Raw genomic sequence first — 17124 nt, 5'->3', positions numbered from 1 at the left:
TCCACTGTTCTAGAACAATCCATCCACCATTCTCCCCTCACATCCCTGGGCTTCAGTAACATCAGCACTGGTGTTTGTTAGGATTCAGGGTGTGGTTCCCGGAGGGACATGTCACCCAACCACAGCCAGTGGGACACGATGAAACTATTTTTCACTGTCCTTGGCTCCCTTGCCCCAACTCACATGCTAAAGTATTTAAAAAAGGGGAAATTAGCACTGAGGGAGTAAAAATAAACTATGATGAAAACTGTCCACATTCCTCCTGGTGTTATTAGGGTGACATGAAGAAAAAGCAAGGACTGAAATGTCCAGGACGGTCACGGATGGCTCCATGCGACTTTTCAAACGTGCATAAGCACAGCCCTGCTCCTTGCTTTCCATCATGTGCCAGACTTCTAGCTTCTGGCTTCAAATGCCAATGAGACAGGCAGGTGGGAGGGAGTCCCTAGAAAAACTCCAACCAGCCTGCACATTGGGGTGGAGCCTCCGGAAATGCATGCCATCTGCAGTGGGGAGGAGCCTGGCCCCTCCTCTTCCTGTGTGGAACCTGGGAATCAAGTAGCCGGCTTGCCTTGCGGAGGATCCTGCTTCCCCCTCCTCCACCCCATTTTTTTCCTTTCACCCAGTAAAACCCTGTTTAACTCACCCTTCAAACCGTCTGCGAGGCTACGTTTTCGTGGCCACGGGACGGACAAGGACCCCATCTTTAGCTGAACTACGGAAAAGCCCTGCAACACCACCATCTCATCGCTGACTTGGAAATAAGCTAGCAGTGGCTGTGTCAGCAAGACCACCACATGCAGCAAGGGTGGCCACTTCCAGCTAGCTCCTGCATCCACAGCTGCCTCGCCCCTATTGGCTACTGCCATCCATGGTAAGCCATTCTCCCGTGGTCACCTTCTCTCTGCTGGCATGGGTACTACAGATGGAAAGGCCATTTTCCCAAAGTGCTATGTGTGTACAGCGGCACCCGCCTGGTCAGCTCCCATCCCTAAAAGGTAACCAGTTAAACTTGGACGTGGCTGGGTGCTTGCGGCCCGCCAGTGTCTGTCCCTGCCCATGCCTCTGGCTTCATCTCCTGCTGCTGCCCTTCACAGACTCTGCCCAGCCCACGTTGTTGGCCCAGTGTCTTTTGGACACAATCCAAACTCCCCCAGCCTCTCTCTCTTCTTATCCTGTCCCTCTTCAAGACTGAGCTCAAATCCTCCTTTCTCGGGGAGGCCTTCTCCAAACTTCACAGCCTCCAGGGCTCTCCTGAAGGCCACAGTGCCTCTATAGCTGACTGGCACCTGGTGTACACGGATCCCTGTCTTTAAATAGAGACTGATATCCTCAACTTCATCAGGGCCCTGGTGGCAAGGGCTGAGACTTCTACTCTAGGGTACCTTTAATTCCATCACACATAGAAGTAAGAGCAATGCTAATGGCAGCCTCTATGAAACTCTTTCTATGTATGAGAGACTGTCCTGAGTATGGCATGTAATCTCATTTATCTCTTTTCACCCTCTCAGCAACCCATGTGAGGTAGATATTATCTAGAATCTGAGACACAAAGCAGTTAAGTAACTTGCCCAGGGAAACGGCAGACCCAAGATTTGAACCCAAGTCACGTGACTCCAGAACCTGAGCTAGACTGACTTTATAAATGTCTGTTATTCGTGAGGAGGAGCTTAACTCATCCTGTGTAGCCAGCATGTTATTACTCTCATTACTAAGGATGAATTTTTAAAGAATAGCTTCAATTTCATTCAAGGGTTCTCTTGTCTTCATCTCAATTGACCATCTATTTCCAGGTAGGCCGAATGCAAAAAGTTTTGATAAAACTCACCATGTGGGAGGTAAGGAAAAGAGTTACATCCTGAACTGTCTTCACTTACATTCAGTAAAACATTTATTTTGCATTTACTATGTGCCAGGCACTATGCTGGATACAAGTGACACTGAGATAGAGTAGAGCTGAAATTATCAAAGAAATGGCTTGGAGCTTCAGCCAAGTATGGTACTGTAGATGTCTCAGAAGCAATGCTGCAACAGCTATATTCTTTTCAAAATGCAGTTCTGGAAAGATCACTAGGCTTTCTGCAGTATGAAAAGGGATTTGAAAGCCCAGCAATGAAACTCAAGTATCATATACCCAAAGTCTCAGTTAAGAAATAGAGGTCACAAGGTGACTGAAGTGATTTGGCATGAATTTGTATTTCTATATGGAATGCCCTCCCAGCTAAATGTATTTCAGCCTGCCAGAGAAGCCAATGGTTTATTTAGGAGGCTCTACCTCGAGGCCTCCTCTCACACTGGATCCTACTCTTTGCTGCATTTCCTGGGAGCCTCTGTGGGTATAATTCTGTCTGTGGTTGTTGGTTCTTGGCTCAGGTGGGGACGGGCTTTCTGTCCTAGGCCTCCTCTGCTCTGAGATTTGGACTGTGATCCAGTGATGCTGCAAGAATAATAATGGCAAGAATAAGGTCTGAATGGGACTAAAGTTATGTCTGAGTATGACCTGGATTACAGAAAAGATACAAAGAGGAGAAAGTTTTTTTAAGGCAAGATGTTAACATTTTTTCTTAACTTTTTTTACTTGAGAATTTACTTGAAAAGGGCCTCTACACAGAGTTAAATGAACTTGGCCAGGTCAGGTTTCCCTGAAGGCTCCCAGAGCTTGGTCCTAGCATTTCAGTGTTAAGAGCACCTACCTGAGAGGTGCCTGGGGGAGTCATTAAGCACCAGACCTGGAGAAAATCACCTACATGTAAGACAGGAAACTAATTTCCACATACTTCTTATCCTGGCTATTTGGTGGACAAAAGCAGGCACTCCAAATGGCTTTATGCACTGGCTGCTGGGAGTCAGTCTTAAATCTTGAAAAAACATTTCCCTTTAAGGGGGCACCACAGCATCACCATCCCTGACAACTGGGCAAGTCAGCAGAATAACACTGATGCTCTTCCTCCATCTGAGAACCAAGAGGACAATACAAAGGCACATGAAAGAGACTACAGCGCTTCTTGCTTTGGGGTTTCTAAATTCTCTGCTATCAATATTCCACCTTAAGACCTTGCAGTGCCACTTTCGAAGGCTCTTTTCTTGGTCAAATGCTCCCTAGCCCAAACAACCAAAACACACAAAGGTTCAAAGTTAAAGCACAGCACTGCAGGCTGACAGGATTGGGTGCAGTCTTAAAGATGAACTGTGCATTTTGTCTTGAACCACTGGCTTTTCTGCTTTTGGGGAACTTATGGTACATTTGGAGGTCTGGACTTCATGAAATGGTAATGATTTGTCAAAAATGTTATGGCTAAAAGCTGGTTACTACAAACTACAGCTCATGTCTGGTTTAATAAATAAATTTTATCAGAACACAAACCTGCCCATTCATTTACATATTGTCTATAGTTGCTTGCTCACTAAATGAGCAGAGTTGAAGAGTTGCAACAGAGACCATATGGCCTGCAAAGTCTAAAAGAAAAAAAATTTTTAAGATAAGGTCTTGCTCTGTCACCCAGGCTGGAGTGCAGTGGCATAATCATGCCTCTCTGCAGCCTTGACCTCCCAAGCTCAATTGATCCTCCCACCTCAGCCTCCCAGGTAGCTGGGACTACAGGTGTACACCACCATGCCCAGCTAATTTTTGTATTTTTTGTAGAGGTGGGGTTTTCCCGTGTTTCCCAGGCTGGTCTCAAACTCCTGGGCTCAAGTGATCCTCTCACCTTGGCCCCCCAGAGTGATATTTACTGGTATTTTACAGTAAAAATTCACCAACCCATGGATTAGAGAATTTTCCCTGATAAGAAAATACTCTGAGTCTACATAGATCATGGGGTGATTACTACAGAATGACTAAAAGGCTAAAACAGGTTTAAACATACATAGATGCAAAACTGAAAATAATTCCAAGCTTGGATGAAAGTATGAAATACTTTATGACATTTAAAAAATCTGGGTTGCCGGTATAATCTATCTATATATCCCACCTCTACCCAAAGGTTCCAGACTCAGTTGGTTTTATGGGTAATTTCTGTGCAACCCTTAAGTTACTTTGTATTTCAGATCCCCAAAGAATATGGGGAGCTTCCAAAAATGCTTTGTGAGACTAGCATACCCTTGATTCCAAAAACCTGACAAGCAATGCATAAAAGAGAGAACTACAGGTCAATCTCATTTATGAATTTAGAGGCAAATAGCCTATAAATAGTATCAGCAAATTGAATCCAGCAACGCACTGAATGCCCTTTGATACTCATTTTAAAATGTTGAATGTAGTAAATTAGTAACTTCTTAATGCAGTAAATGTTATAACTTGGCAAAAGTTAATACCTAAATGGTCCACCAAAAATCAGAATAAATTATATTTAATTTTAATGTATTAACAAATATAATTAGATTATATTTATATACATGTATTAAATAAATTAGCATGTTTAATTTTACACAGTGATGCTCACTTTCTGGGCACTTAGTGGTTTTACATCCCTGGACTGAACTCTAAACCACAGGTGGCTGTGGAACTCAACCAGGTCACTAACCATCTTCTCACTTTTAGGCAAAAGAAAGGGGCTGCTCTAAGTTATCTCCAAACCTTGACTCCTAGGTTTCAATTAAAGACACAAAGGTAGCCAGGCTCTCTTCTGGTTGTTTCACTAGCTGAATGATTTCAATGAAATTCAAGCAATAGAAAGATGCTTGAGAATACACTTTTGAGTGGCAGAGGCATTTGCACAAATGTTTCCCTTTTTCATTTCGATTTAAAAAGTGGCATGCAACTCGAGTCTGTGTATTTGTGGGAAGAACTGTTCAGGCAACACCAAGAAAGAGAACAATGGGTTGTGAAAAGAAGAAAAGGCCCTTCCAATACAGGCCTTTTTCTTCCTAGGTCTTTTCAGTTTCACAAAAGAAGACATATTTTCCATATAATTGCTAAACATGTTTGCTTATTAAATTATTCTTTAACTAGTTAATGATTTTAGCCATGCTTTGCTCTTCGGATATTCATTTTGTATAATAAAATAATTATAGATAATTAAACTATCTCAAGCTTTTTTCTTTCCCCCAGCAAACATGCTGGGTATCCAAAAATGACAACAAGTTGTAAATTAATCTGGAAAACAAAGCATGACAGATGAATGATTTGGTTGGAATTAATTAGGCACTAATTATATACTGGAACTAGATGAAGAATGAGACTCATTATAAAAATAAAACGCTATTCTGAAGAGATGCACAGTTACCGACATCCTTACCTTCTGTGGTGATGGAGTTATTCCTTATCCAAATCAGTGCCTTAAAGCAATCCTCTTCCTCGTTGAGAGTGAAATGGTTGCAAGGAACTTTCCCCGTGTACCGCCGCTGACTGCTGTTGGGAACCTCCCTGTTTGTCAGGTGTTGACTAATATCAGCCTCTGTAGGGCATGGGACCTGAAGCATGTTAGAGAAATGCTTATTTCAGTGATAATAGATAAAGTGGTGACAGTGGTTAAAAAAAAAAAAGTAGACATAGCAATATTCAGTATGTCTTTTTCTGTCCCGAGATACAATCAATCAGATTTTAATTGAAAAAAAAAAAAAACACAAAAACAGGTGGAAAGAGCACCTAGAAACAATTCTCAGAGGGAGTTGCTCTAGTTATGTAATGCTGTGTAACAAATTGTTTCAAAACTCAGTGGTAAAAATCAACCATTAGGCTCCCAGCTTATGCAGGACAGTAATTCAGACAGGGCAAGGTGGGGAATGACTTGTCTCTGTTCCACCATGTCTGGGGCCTCAGCTAGGAAGACTCAAAGGCTAGGGGTGACTCAGGGGCTGGGGGCTGAAATCATCTGAAGATAATTAAACTATCTCAATCCTTTTTCTTTCCCCTGGAAAATATGCTGGGTATTCAAATGTGACAACAAATTGTCATGATTTGCCTTGCAGTTGATGTTGGCTAAGGGCTGGATCTGAGCTGGGGTTGTTGGCCAGAACACCTACATGTGGCCTCTCCATGTAGCTTGGGCTTCCTCATAACGTGGTGGCTGGGTTCCAAGGGAAAGTGTTCTGAGAAAGAGAGAGCCAATAGAGAGAGGTCCATATTCTTTTCCAACCTAGTCTTGGAAGTTGAGCAGTGCCTCTTCCACCATATTCGATTCATGGAGATAGCCATAAAGGCCTGCCCAGGACCAGGGGAGGGAACCTAGACTCCACCTCTTCATGTAGGAGGGGCAAGGCTCTGGAAGAGGACATGGGAATGCATTGGATGTGGTGGCCATTTTTGGCAAAAATAATCTGCCACAGAAATTGTATCTGGGGTTGAAATTTAAGGATATAGAGGGGCTAGGCAGAAAAGAAAAGGAAAGAAACAGATTATTATTTACTTTTGAAAAGTATAGGATTATTCCTTGTCTTGTCAGAGAAATATTCTCCTTCTCTTTATTCCCCTCCATCTTTCTCTCATTTTTGATGCAGATGTGTGTGGGAACAGAAACTTTCCTCTACTGTAAGGAAAGTAACAGTAAAAACACAATAACGGATGATAGCTGATACTCGTCTTCTTTGTCAAGGATACTGTGGCAAACTGGAGGGTTTGTGCTTGGGCCAGAGATTTCAGCCATGACTGAGTTCCATCTAGTTGCTGCCAGTGTAGAGTATGGATCCAGTATGGCCAGATCTGACTTCCCAAGAAATGCCAGGCCCTTGGGTTTTCATGTAGACTCCTGATTTTTTATTATATTCGTTCAAATTAAAATCAGACAAAGAAGTGTCATTGCAAAAACCAAATAAAACAGCATAGTGACCTGAGGTTCCCCAAATGGGCCACCACTTGGTCCCTCTGACTTTTAATTGGCTGCCAGGTGGCAGTTATGAGGAGAAAAAGGGGGCAAGCAGAGGGGCAGCCTAGAGGGAGCCTGAGGCCTTTGGCAGATACCCACTGGCTTGCTGCACTCAGGGTCTAAGACCTCAGGGCTGTGAGGCAAGAATACTCCTAGAGTTATGACAGGCAATAAGTTTACTTGCAGTCAAGAGGGATGTTGGGGCAGAGGAAGTTCTTTCTCCTTTGACAAGCAGGCAAATGCTGGCTGGTGCTTAAACTCATGGGGCTTGACTAACCTCCAGCTGACAGGAAACTTTTGGTTATACACTTCCTCAATAGAAATTGTAAAGCCTTAGTACATTGCCGTGATGTATTTAATGCAATTTCAAACTAGATTAAATTAAAATGAAACAGCAAAACAGAACCAATGTTTAAAGCTGGATATTCTCTCTCCATTAAGAGGCTGCAGTGAAATTGTATTTAGCAAAAGGGAACAACTAAATAAATAATGGTCATTTACTGTAACCAAAATTGCAGAGGTAAAGTTTTCTTATTAGTAATATAGCTCGTTTAGTAATACCCCACTAAAATGTTGATAGCATTATATTCATAGTTATTATAAAGCAGCCCACTGAAGGCTTTGGCGAAAAGTCTGACGTGCACAATACTGAATACTGTGCTTCGGGCTTTTGAAACCTCACTGGAACTACAAGGAGCATTGTAGCATAAAAGAAAATAAAATCTGGGTAACATTACATCAGTTTAATAAGTCATGATTTAACAAGTGAAAAAGCCTTGGCGGAAAGTGGCAGTGCTAAAGAACAAATTGAGAGCTACTTCATTTATAAAAGTTTCAATGAGTTATCATTTCAAGTAGTGGTGTTTAGGCAAAAATAAAAAGGAAGAGGAGAAAAAAGAATAAGGTCCAAATTGAAAATTAGCTCACTACAATCTTGAAATGTAATTGCATTCTGATAATCCACATAATTCTTGTGTGCACTTAAATGTGTAGAGTTGTTTTGCATACTTCTCTACTATAAAGAATAAGAGCAATTAAAGAAAAACTAATGGGATTATGGCATTTTCACAAAGCAGGCAAAACTGAAGCTAGAATTATAAATTCCAAAGCCAAATAAATTTGTCTGCACAGAGTTTAGGAGACATCAATTAATTAGAAAACGATCTATGGAAAAAGAAGCTTGCTTTGTGATCAGTTCATCATTTACTGTGTTCTTTCATTGAATGGAAGCTTCTAGCAGAAAAAGAATTTGTATGGAGACATTGAGAAGAAGCCAGTACAAGAAATTTCCTTCTTCCATGTGTGCTTATGGGGACACAGAGCTATCCAGCCTGAAAAGTAAAAAGAAGCTTCCTTTCTGAATGGTTCATCACATACTGTTTTCTTTCATTGAACAGCAGATTTAAACACTAAGAGGAGTTTGTAGGCAGACATTTAGAAGAAGCTAGCAGAAGTTTCTTACACCCATACATTCCTGTTGGTCAAGAGAGGTCACTAGCCCTGAAAAGGTAAAAGAGGCAAGGGAGAGAACAGTCTTTAATATAAGGGCTTGGTTATATTTAATGAAGTGCCACAAGGACTGGTTATCCAAACTGAGGGTTCTCTGCCACTAACTAAAGTGCCACTAACTTCTGAGTGGAGAGCAGCAGATAACTTTTCAACCACACTGATTTGCCATAGCACAGTGCCACCATCACTCAGCAATAACTCACGGTGGCTAGGACTGCTGGCTGCCTAACCCAATATTCTGTCTTCCTTCCTTTCTTAGTAACAGACTCTTGGGAAATATGCTCGGCTGAAAAACTGCATTTCCCAACTCAAGACCTAAGAGGTGGTCAGGAGATACAAGCAGGAGTCCTTGGATGAGGTAATGAGAAAAGTCATCATGCTCTAGTCCTTCCTCTTTCTTGCCTCTTGCAAATGGAATGACTGGAACACAGCAGCCATCTTGAGATGCTGAGAATGGAAACCACACATTAAAAATAGAAAGAGGGCCAGGCATGGTGACTCACACCTGTAGTCCCAGCACTTTGGGAGGCTGAGGCAGGCGGATCCCTTGAGCCTAGAAGTTTGAGACCAGCCTGGGAAACATGGGAGATCTCATCTCTACTACAAATACAAATACAAAAAAAAAAAAAAAAATTAGCTGGGTTTGGCGGCATGTACCTGTATAGTCCCAGCTACTCGGGAGGCTGAAGTAGGAGAATCACCTGAGCCGGGGAGGTCAAGGTTGCAGTGAGCTGTGATTGCACCACTGCACTCCAGCCTGGGTGACAGGAGTCAGAACTTGTCAAAAAAAAAAAAAAAAAAAAAAAAAAAGATGGAAGGGCCTGGGTTCCTGTTGACATCAGGGAGCCACCTTACCGGGCCTGGGTTGCTTTTCTCCAGATATTTTTATTTTTAATGAGAGAAGGAAATAAACTTTTTCTTTTTGAACTGCTTATTTGACTGTAGCTGTAAATACAAAGCTCTAGAATCTCTGTGGTAATGACTTTTAAAAGCCATCAAGTATAAGCCCTGCACCATGTCAATGAGAGATAAAGGGAAGCAACAAGAAAGGGAAAGGAGAGGGAAAGAGAACGAAACAGAGACAGTGCTTGATCCAGGGCCAGACCACCTGAGTTTGGACCCTAGTCTATCACCTCCCTACTAACTGACCCTGGGCAAACTACCTAAGCTTCACAGCACCCTCGGTTCTCTAACCTACAACATGGGGATGCCAATGGCAGTGACCTCAGTGTATGGTGAGAGTTCCATCTGTTACCATGTGTCTGTCTCGCGGTAAACATTCAACGGCAGTCAGGTGCTCTCCCGCTTTGAGGCTGCCTGGCAGCAGGCTCCTGTCTCCTAGGGTTGACCGTTTTCTTTGGAGTAGACTTTCACTCTATCGGAAAGCTGTTCCTCGGGATGAATAAACACTGCATTCCCATCACTTTTGGGGCCTGTCTAGATCTGTTTCCCAGAGCCATCATGTGCAAGACTAATTTCGCTCTCCATATGAAAAGTCTTCAAGTATTTGAAGACTGGCTGGCCATCCTGCACACCCTGAATCTTCACTCCTCTGGCTGCGCATCTGGAGTGACGGAGCCCCTCCCTCGCTGTGCTTCAGCTTGTTCCTTCCCTTCTTCAGTGGGACTCCAAGGAACGAAGGTCATATTGCAAGTACACTTCTGTTTTTGTGGCCATCCTCTGATACAACCATGTTCGGCAGGTAAAAAGTTCATGACCTCTATATTCTCATCATGGATTTTACCCTTGATCAAGATTAATGCTTTTCTTTCTCCAATTCACTTTCTTGGGCACTAATATTATTGCTGTTTCTAATAGCTGTGTGAAATTTGCCTGACAGTCTTTTGCTGGTGCACTTTGAACCATCTTCTTATTTTTAAGCTTTTGTTGCCCTTTGATTGGGTATTTCTCTTATATTTTGAATTAAGTGTAAAAACAGAGTCTTGGTTCTTATAACAGGGTGGTTTGAAGCCCTAACCCTAATCCACCCATGACACTCACTGAATTTTTCTCCTTATGTCATTCTGGTTTACACCTTCACTTTTAACCATTGTGTCTGTTTTCCTTTGTTTTCTCCCTTTTATCTTCTGCAGTGTTGGGAAGGTGAATTCCTTCATGCTGTTTCAAAGGATTCTTTAATCTTATTTCTTCTAAATATAAGAGTCAACACTGAAATAGTACTCTTGGGTTTCTCCCCTTAAGACAATGCATATTCCTCCCTTGCCACCTCCCTCCCAATTTTCAACAACTTCTTGGTCTTTATTAGATTAATTTAGCTTAAGAGTCATTTTCTATTTTGCATTTATTCTCAGATTTACAACAATTATTTAGATTACATTTTTAAATTGTTTGTGGTGCTTGCCACCTGTCCTTTTGTACTACTATGAAATTCTATATTTTCTTTCTTTCTTTTTCTTTTTTTTTTTTGTTTTTTTGTTTTTTTTGAGACAGTCTTGCTCTGTTGCCCAGGCTGGAGTGCAGTGGCACAATCTCGGCTCACTGCAACCTCTGCCTCCTGGTTCAAGTGATTCTTTTGCCTCAGCCTTCCAAGTAGCTGGGATTACAAGACCCTGCCACCACACCTGGCTAATTTTTGTATTTTTAGTAGAGATGGGGTTTCACCATGTTGGTCAGGCTGGTCTCGAACTCCTGACCTCAAGTGATCCACCTGCCTTGGCCTCCCAAAATGCTGGGATTACAGATGTGAGCCACCACGCCTGGCTGAAGTTCTAATTTTTCTTTTCTATCTCAATTATTTTGAGTGCACATTAAGCAAAGAACACGGAAGATAATTTTTTCTGAGGCCTTGTATATAAAAGAATGGCTACCTGCTATTTTCAAATATGAGAGATTTAGGTGGACACATAATTACTGAATCACCACTTTTCGTCAAAATTCTGTGGGATTAGTTTCATTTTCTTTTGCTATTTAATGCTGGAGATAAAAATTTTGATATCTGTTTTATTTTTATTCTTTTTTAGGGAGAAAGGTTGTAATCTGTTATTTTTCTTTTGAAGTTTGTTCAATTTTTTCCTGCCATTCTATGAGAAACTATTTATCATCCTCAATGCAATTTGATCACCCAGCCCCTGAAATGGCAGCTGAAGCATCGGAAGAGCAGAGGCTAAGCTAAGAAGGCCACAGGGTTAGACAAAAAGGGAGATGGGTGACTAAGAAAGAATTGAAATTCTGTCAGAACATAACTGAGAAAATTTTTCTTTGATTTTGCCTAGAATGTGGTCAGCTGGACAATATGTTTTTCGGGTAAAAAAGTTTTCTTCTAGAATATCTTCAATTATTGTCCCTTGAGTCTCTTCTTCAGGAAAACCAATTATTTCTATGCTGCCTCCATGCCTATCAGACCCTGTTTTCTCCTGAACCAAGCATATCCCTTTGTCCTCTGCTTCTGCCCTCCAGGAGTGCTTTGTCTTCAGCATCACTAACTGTTTAGCAGCAGTTCTGTCTCTGATGGAGATTTCATTTTAATTTTTTCTTATTCACCCATCTCCTTTTTTATGTGTGGCCTTCTCAGCTTTGCCTCTGCTCTTTCAATGGCTTCAGCTCCCATTTCAGAGGCCAGGTGATCAAATTGTATAAAGGATGATAAATAGTTGCCTACAATGTGTGTGTGTGTGTGTGTGTGTGTGTGTGTGTGGCCTAAATTTTTCAACATTTTCACAACTATGTTCTTCCTCTGATTTTTCCAAATATTGTATTGTTCTCTTTCTCTTACTGTGTTATCTTTTTATTCTAGTTGTCCTTTGCTGTTCAGCAAACTCACACTAAAACTTAGTAGCTTAAATACCTACTTTCTTAACTTTCCATGATTTTGTTGGTCAGAAATTTGGGTAGCATTTGGATGAGCAATTCTTTTATTCTGTGTGCTGTGGACAGGAGTCACTTGGCAACTTTCAGCTGGTGGATGGACTGATCTGGAGGATCTGAGATTGTTTCACTCACATGCCCAGTGCCTTGCAAGGCTGGCTGAAGGGCTGGGATCAGTGGGGCCTGGGAGGCAGAGAGCTCACCTACAGCGTCTCCAGCGTGGCAACCCCAGGGCATCAGAACTTCTCACGTGGCACCTCAGGACTCCAGGAGCGACTGCTGCCACAATCCAGGAGGCACTGTATGGCCTCTGTGACTTGGCCTCAGAAGTCACACCATGTCACAACCTTTGCACTTTGTTGGCCGAGGCAGTCACAAGGCTGCCCAGATTCAAGGAGAGGAGACATAGACTCTACCTCTTAGATGGAAGAGGCATCAAAGAATTTGCAGCCATTTTTAAAACAGCCAGTTTTCTTTGACTGCATGCTTTTATTTTCCCCTGTAATCATTCTCAGAGTGAGATCTCTATATAGTAGGTGCTGTCAAATGACACGGGGGAGTGTCTTTCTCAGGTCTCTTACTGGGAGGTACAGCACTGGTGTAGATGGGTCTTTCCTCCCTGCTGTGTGTAGAAGGCTGTCACCTGGGCTGCACCATTCTGGATGCCACACTATTACTGACCCAGTCTAAGACATGATTAACCCCTTTGGAGACAATGTAACATTGCCGACCCACATCAAGCTCACTGTATACTACAGTCTCAGCTCTTCTTCTTGCTTGCTTGGAAGTACCTGCCCTACCTGTCAGCTGCTAGTGACCCCCGACCCATGAACAGTCCATACCACAGTCTTCTCATGCTCAACACCAAGCTCATTTGATTTCAGTTGGTACATTTTTGTTCTTCCTCTTTATGAGGTTCCTCAAATCCAGGCCTGGGGAAGGCATCTCTCTGCTGCTCCATGACCGTCCATGAGTCATGGAGAGTGGCCCTGTGATCTCAGAGGGGTTTTCAAAACCAGAGTGTGTTTGCCAACAAAAATGATCAACATTGATTGGAGGGCTGGAGAAGGAGTTATAGAGTCTGGAAAGTGAGCCAGCTAAATCTTCATCTTCGAAAATGGAGAGGTTGTAGATAATGTCTGAAGTTGACAGAGCAAGGAAGGACATTCTATAAACATATTACTGTATTTGGAGTTATGCAGGTAGCCACTGAAAAACTAAGAACAGAAATGCTTCAAACTGGTTGCCTCTGGAAAGAGAGCTGGGAGGAAGAGTGGGCTGGGAGAGACCAGCTCTCCTCATGCTTAGCCGTGCAGTGCAATGTAGTATTTTACCTTGTGCATGGATTTTGTAATAAGAAATAGCGATGTGCATTTGGATATTAAAAACATTACACAACAATTTAGAGTGAGGCGTGCCATTTAAAAGGTCTGATTAGAGGTTGCGGTTTGTCATTACATTTTATAGAGGGTTGTCTTCTTGCTTTGGGTTTAAGCTCTGTTTTCATTATTTTAATTTGTTTTTTAGAAAATCACAAAATTGGGACAAAACCAGGAGAGAGTTGAAGACAATGGGGGAAGGGGGAGAAAAGCTCCCCAGTGAATTCAGCTGCCCTTTCTGTACCACTCTATGTACTTTGATTTTATGTCCTTCTGGAAAAATTAAATTGGAACTCCCTTTATCACTTCTTCATTTCATTTTTTTTCCGTTGTAAAAAGGGCAAGAGCTTAATGTGCCACAGAGTAAAGCTGCAGGGGCAGCTGGGCACACATGGGCAGATGCCCGAGGCTCTGGGCAGCTGGCTGGGTCTTCCACTCAGTTTCCAAAGTACGCAGTCGTGGCAGCAGCTGGAACCTGGCAGGCAGGTGACAGGAAGACAAGCTAAGGGGGTGCATATGGCATTTCTGTCGGGTTTAATGTTTTAACAAGTCAGAGGAATACTTAAATATCAAAACGAAGTATCCCTGCAGTAAATATTTATCCTTTAACCATAAAAATATCCTTTTATACCCTTTGAGAATTGAGAGGAGAGGAGAGGAGAGGAGAGGAGGGGAGGGGAGGGGAGGGGAGGGGAGAAGAATGGAGAGGAGGGGAGGGGATAGAAGAGGGGAGGGGAGGGGAGTGGAGGGGAGGAAAGGGGAGAGGAGGGGAGGGGAGTGGAGGGGAGGAAAGGGGAGAGGAGGGGAGGGGAGTGGAGGGGAGGAAAGGGGAGAGGAGGGAAGGGGAGAGGAATGGAGAGGAGAGGAGGGGAGGGGAGGGGAGGGGAGGGGAGGGGAGGAGAGAGATTCTTCAGAGGTTGATCCAAGCTACTGAAAGGGTTGTTCATTCACTGGCAGCACTGGCCTCACCCGGGAGCTTGTTAGAAATGTAACATCTTCCTGTTCCCCTAAGTGGCCTGACAATCTGTGGAAATGTGAACTCAGGCAAATCGAGAGGTTCAAATCTTCGTGTTCATTGAAGAACACCTGTGAAACTGCTCAGGCCGTCAGGGTATGCATATATCAAGAGCCACCCAGTATCTGAAAGATGTCACTTGACAGAGACAGTGTGTACCATTCTGACGTTACAAAGGTGGAGTTGGTAGGTGCGTCCAGGCCAAACAGTGGGACTGGACACAGGGTCAGTGGCCCAAAAAGAGTGCTGAATGTTTGCTGCACATGCTTAAAAATGCAGAGTCATGCTGAACGTAAGGGTTTACATGTAGATTCTCTGGTCATTGAGCATAGCCAGGTGAACAAAGTACCCAAGATGTGTGGCCAGACTCACAGAGCTCAGGGTCAGGTTAACCCATGTGTGAGCTCTGCCTGCCACAGTGAGATGAGCCTTATTGAAAAGGAACAAATTGTTCCTAAACCAGAAGAGGCTGCGCAGAAGAAAAAGATAGCCCAGAAGAAACTGAAGAAATGGAAACTTACGGCACAGGAATAGACTCATCCAACAATAAATGGAATTAAAAGTACAGGAAGGAAGGAAGGAAAGAAAGAAGGAAGGAAGGAAGGACAGAAAGAAGGAAGGAAGAAAGGACGGAAGGAAGGAAGGAAAAAAGAAGGAAGGAAGAAAAGGAAAGAAAAGAAAAGAAAAGAAAATGTAGCATCTCAGGCTCCCCATCCCATGGCCTCCTGCTCCTAATCTGCATTTTAACAAGAAGCTCAGGGGATTCATGTGCACAGCAGTTTGAGAGGTGCTATTCTAAGGTATAGATGAGGAATTCTTAGTCAAGAAAGTGCAAGCTTGTGGTTCTCAGCTTTAGCTTAGAAGCATGTGGGGCACCTGAAAAATACTGATGACTGGGTCCCACCCTAGAATAATTAAAACAACCTCTGGGGGCGGAGCCTAGGCATGGATGTGTTTTCAAAGCACCCAGGTCATCTCAATGTGCGGCCAAGGCAGAAAATATAGGGTAAGTGATGCTTAGAGCTGCTGAGCACATTCTGTGGCAACACCCAGGTGGAGACCCTGTCTCCTTCATGCGCTGCCTCCTCTGCGCTTGGCGACGTGAAGGAAAACTGTCATACACAGGCTCGCATCGAATCCCACAACTATTCACAAGATGGTCTAAGTGGGGTGTCTAATCTTTTGGCTTCCCTGAGCCACACTGAAACAAGAAGAATCATCTTGGACCACACATAAAATATACAAACACTAAAGATAGCTGATAAGCTGAAGAAAAAAAACTGCAAAAAAAAAAGTCATAATGTTTTAAGAAAGTTTACAAATTTGTGTTGAGCCACATTCAAAGCCACCTTGGGCCCATGGGCCATGGGTTTCACAAACTTGGTCTAAGACTTCATCCTTGAGTTAGAGTAAGCCTCTTGTCACTGGAGAAATACCTTACTGCTGTAAACTACATGAAACACTCATGCATATTACAAAGTGGAATATTAAAATCTGCTGCCCTAAGACATTGAACAGCTTCAGTGTTATCCAGCAATGCTTTACTCAAATGTGGATGGAGAGTTTAACTAAAAGGAAAGCATGGACACTGGGAAACCAATCAATCAGATTTCCTATTTTCATAACTGAGAGACAAAATAAAATAAGGGTCGACAGAAGGTGCACGTGTTTGCAATACTTTTGCGAGAGCCCATTGCCACAGCCAAATGTTAGCCTCTTGAGGCATAAATTAATTTACCACAAATGCATGCCTGGTTGCGTCTGGATTCTGCTAGGGCGAGCAGTATGTGTTAGACTTTTGGACAACAGCTTAAAGAATGACATTTCTCCAACTTGCTGTGATTTTTATCCTCGAGCAGAATGTTTTTCTTGGAATGGGTTTCTGGGAGGGTTTGCGGACATAATTCTGGTTATGTGTGCGGGCCCTGAAGGGTGCTTTTATGAATTTAGAGCAGCAGCTGTCCAGGCAGAGGGATGCTCTTTACCCAGAGTGTGTGTGCCCCAGTAAACATATGAATGGCTTTCATGGAGCTCTCCAGACACGTGGCTTGCGCCCCCTGTGCCCGGCCTTACCTGGTACTGCTGCCCGGTGCAGAGGATGAGGTGGTCGTAGGGCACGATCTCGTCCGTGGAAAGCACAACGTGCTTGGCTGCTCGGTCTATGCCGGTCATTCTACCCACCACGACATTAACCCAGGAGCACAGTGACATCAGTGCATAATCTTTATCATTAAAACAGTGGCTGCAAAGAGAGAAGCTCCGTAAGTGACATCTGAGCAGCTGACAGCGGGCATTAATTAGACATCTGGTGAGCTGGTTCAAGTCCCCTAGTGGGCTGAGTCCGTGCTCTTGCTGTGAGTTTACCAGGACTGATACTAGGAGATTTTTCGTTATGAAACACTTAGTTACAAATTGACATCTTCCCATTAAAGCTAAATTGTTCCACCTGGCTTAGGTCAGCCCACAACTGGGAGGGTGGGAGGGGTGTGTGTGTGTGTGTGTGTTTATCTGTATGTGTGTGTGTGTGAAATCACTCATACTATACCTTTCTTCTGCTTCTACTTCAGAGTGGTTGTAAATTTACTTTAGCTGT

At 43.1% G+C, this 17124-nt stretch overlaps 1 protein-coding gene, 1 long non-coding RNA gene and 1 pseudogene across 3 annotated transcripts in view, besides 1 other annotated feature; 2 read left to right on the top strand and 1 right to left on the bottom strand.

The window, feature by feature from the left end:
- The window catches only part of CFAP61 (cilia and flagella associated protein 61), a 308167-nt gene that overhangs the window by 92331 nt on the left and 198712 nt on the right, over positions 1-17124 (bottom strand). Inside the window, exons 20-21 of the mRNA NM_015585.4 lie at positions 16605-16773; positions 5238-5412 (exon numbers count right to left, since the gene is read on the bottom strand). Of these exons, the coding sequence (NP_056400.3) occupies positions 5238-5412; positions 16605-16773 (344 nt within the window). The remainder of the gene's footprint in view (positions 1-5237; positions 5413-16604; positions 16774-17124) is intronic.
- CFAP61-AS1 (CFAP61 antisense RNA 1) lies at positions 531-13818 on the top strand. 2 transcript variants are annotated; one of them, NR_183979.1, is made up of 4 exons: positions 531-874; positions 8572-8670; positions 9809-10014; positions 12207-13818. It is a non-coding gene; the product is annotated as a CFAP61 antisense RNA 1 (long non-coding RNA). The 2 variants fall into 2 exon arrangements; NR_183978.1 differs by having other exon boundaries at positions 9754-10014.
- Positions 802-1302: an enhancer, noted in NCBI's record as "H3K4me1 hESC enhancer chr20:20247710-20248210 (GRCh37/hg19 assembly coordinates)". NCBI's record gives its function as "activates a minimal SCP1, AML or CMV promoter by ChIP-STARR-seq in naive H9 embryonic stem cells {active_cell/tissue: H9 hESC(naive)}" and the evidence as "EXISTENCE:reporter gene assay evidence [ECO:0000049][PMID:30033119]".
- Positions 14530-15065, top strand: RPL17P1 (ribosomal protein L17 pseudogene 1; annotated as a pseudogene).

This window comes from Homo sapiens, chromosome 20 (genome assembly GCF_000001405.40).
Source record: "Homo sapiens chromosome 20, GRCh38.p14 Primary Assembly".
Taxonomy (NCBI): domain Eukaryota; kingdom Metazoa; phylum Chordata; class Mammalia; order Primates; family Hominidae; genus Homo; species Homo sapiens.
The sequence above is the reverse complement of the archived record's forward strand: the minus strand, read 5'-3'. Positions and strand labels throughout refer to the sequence as shown.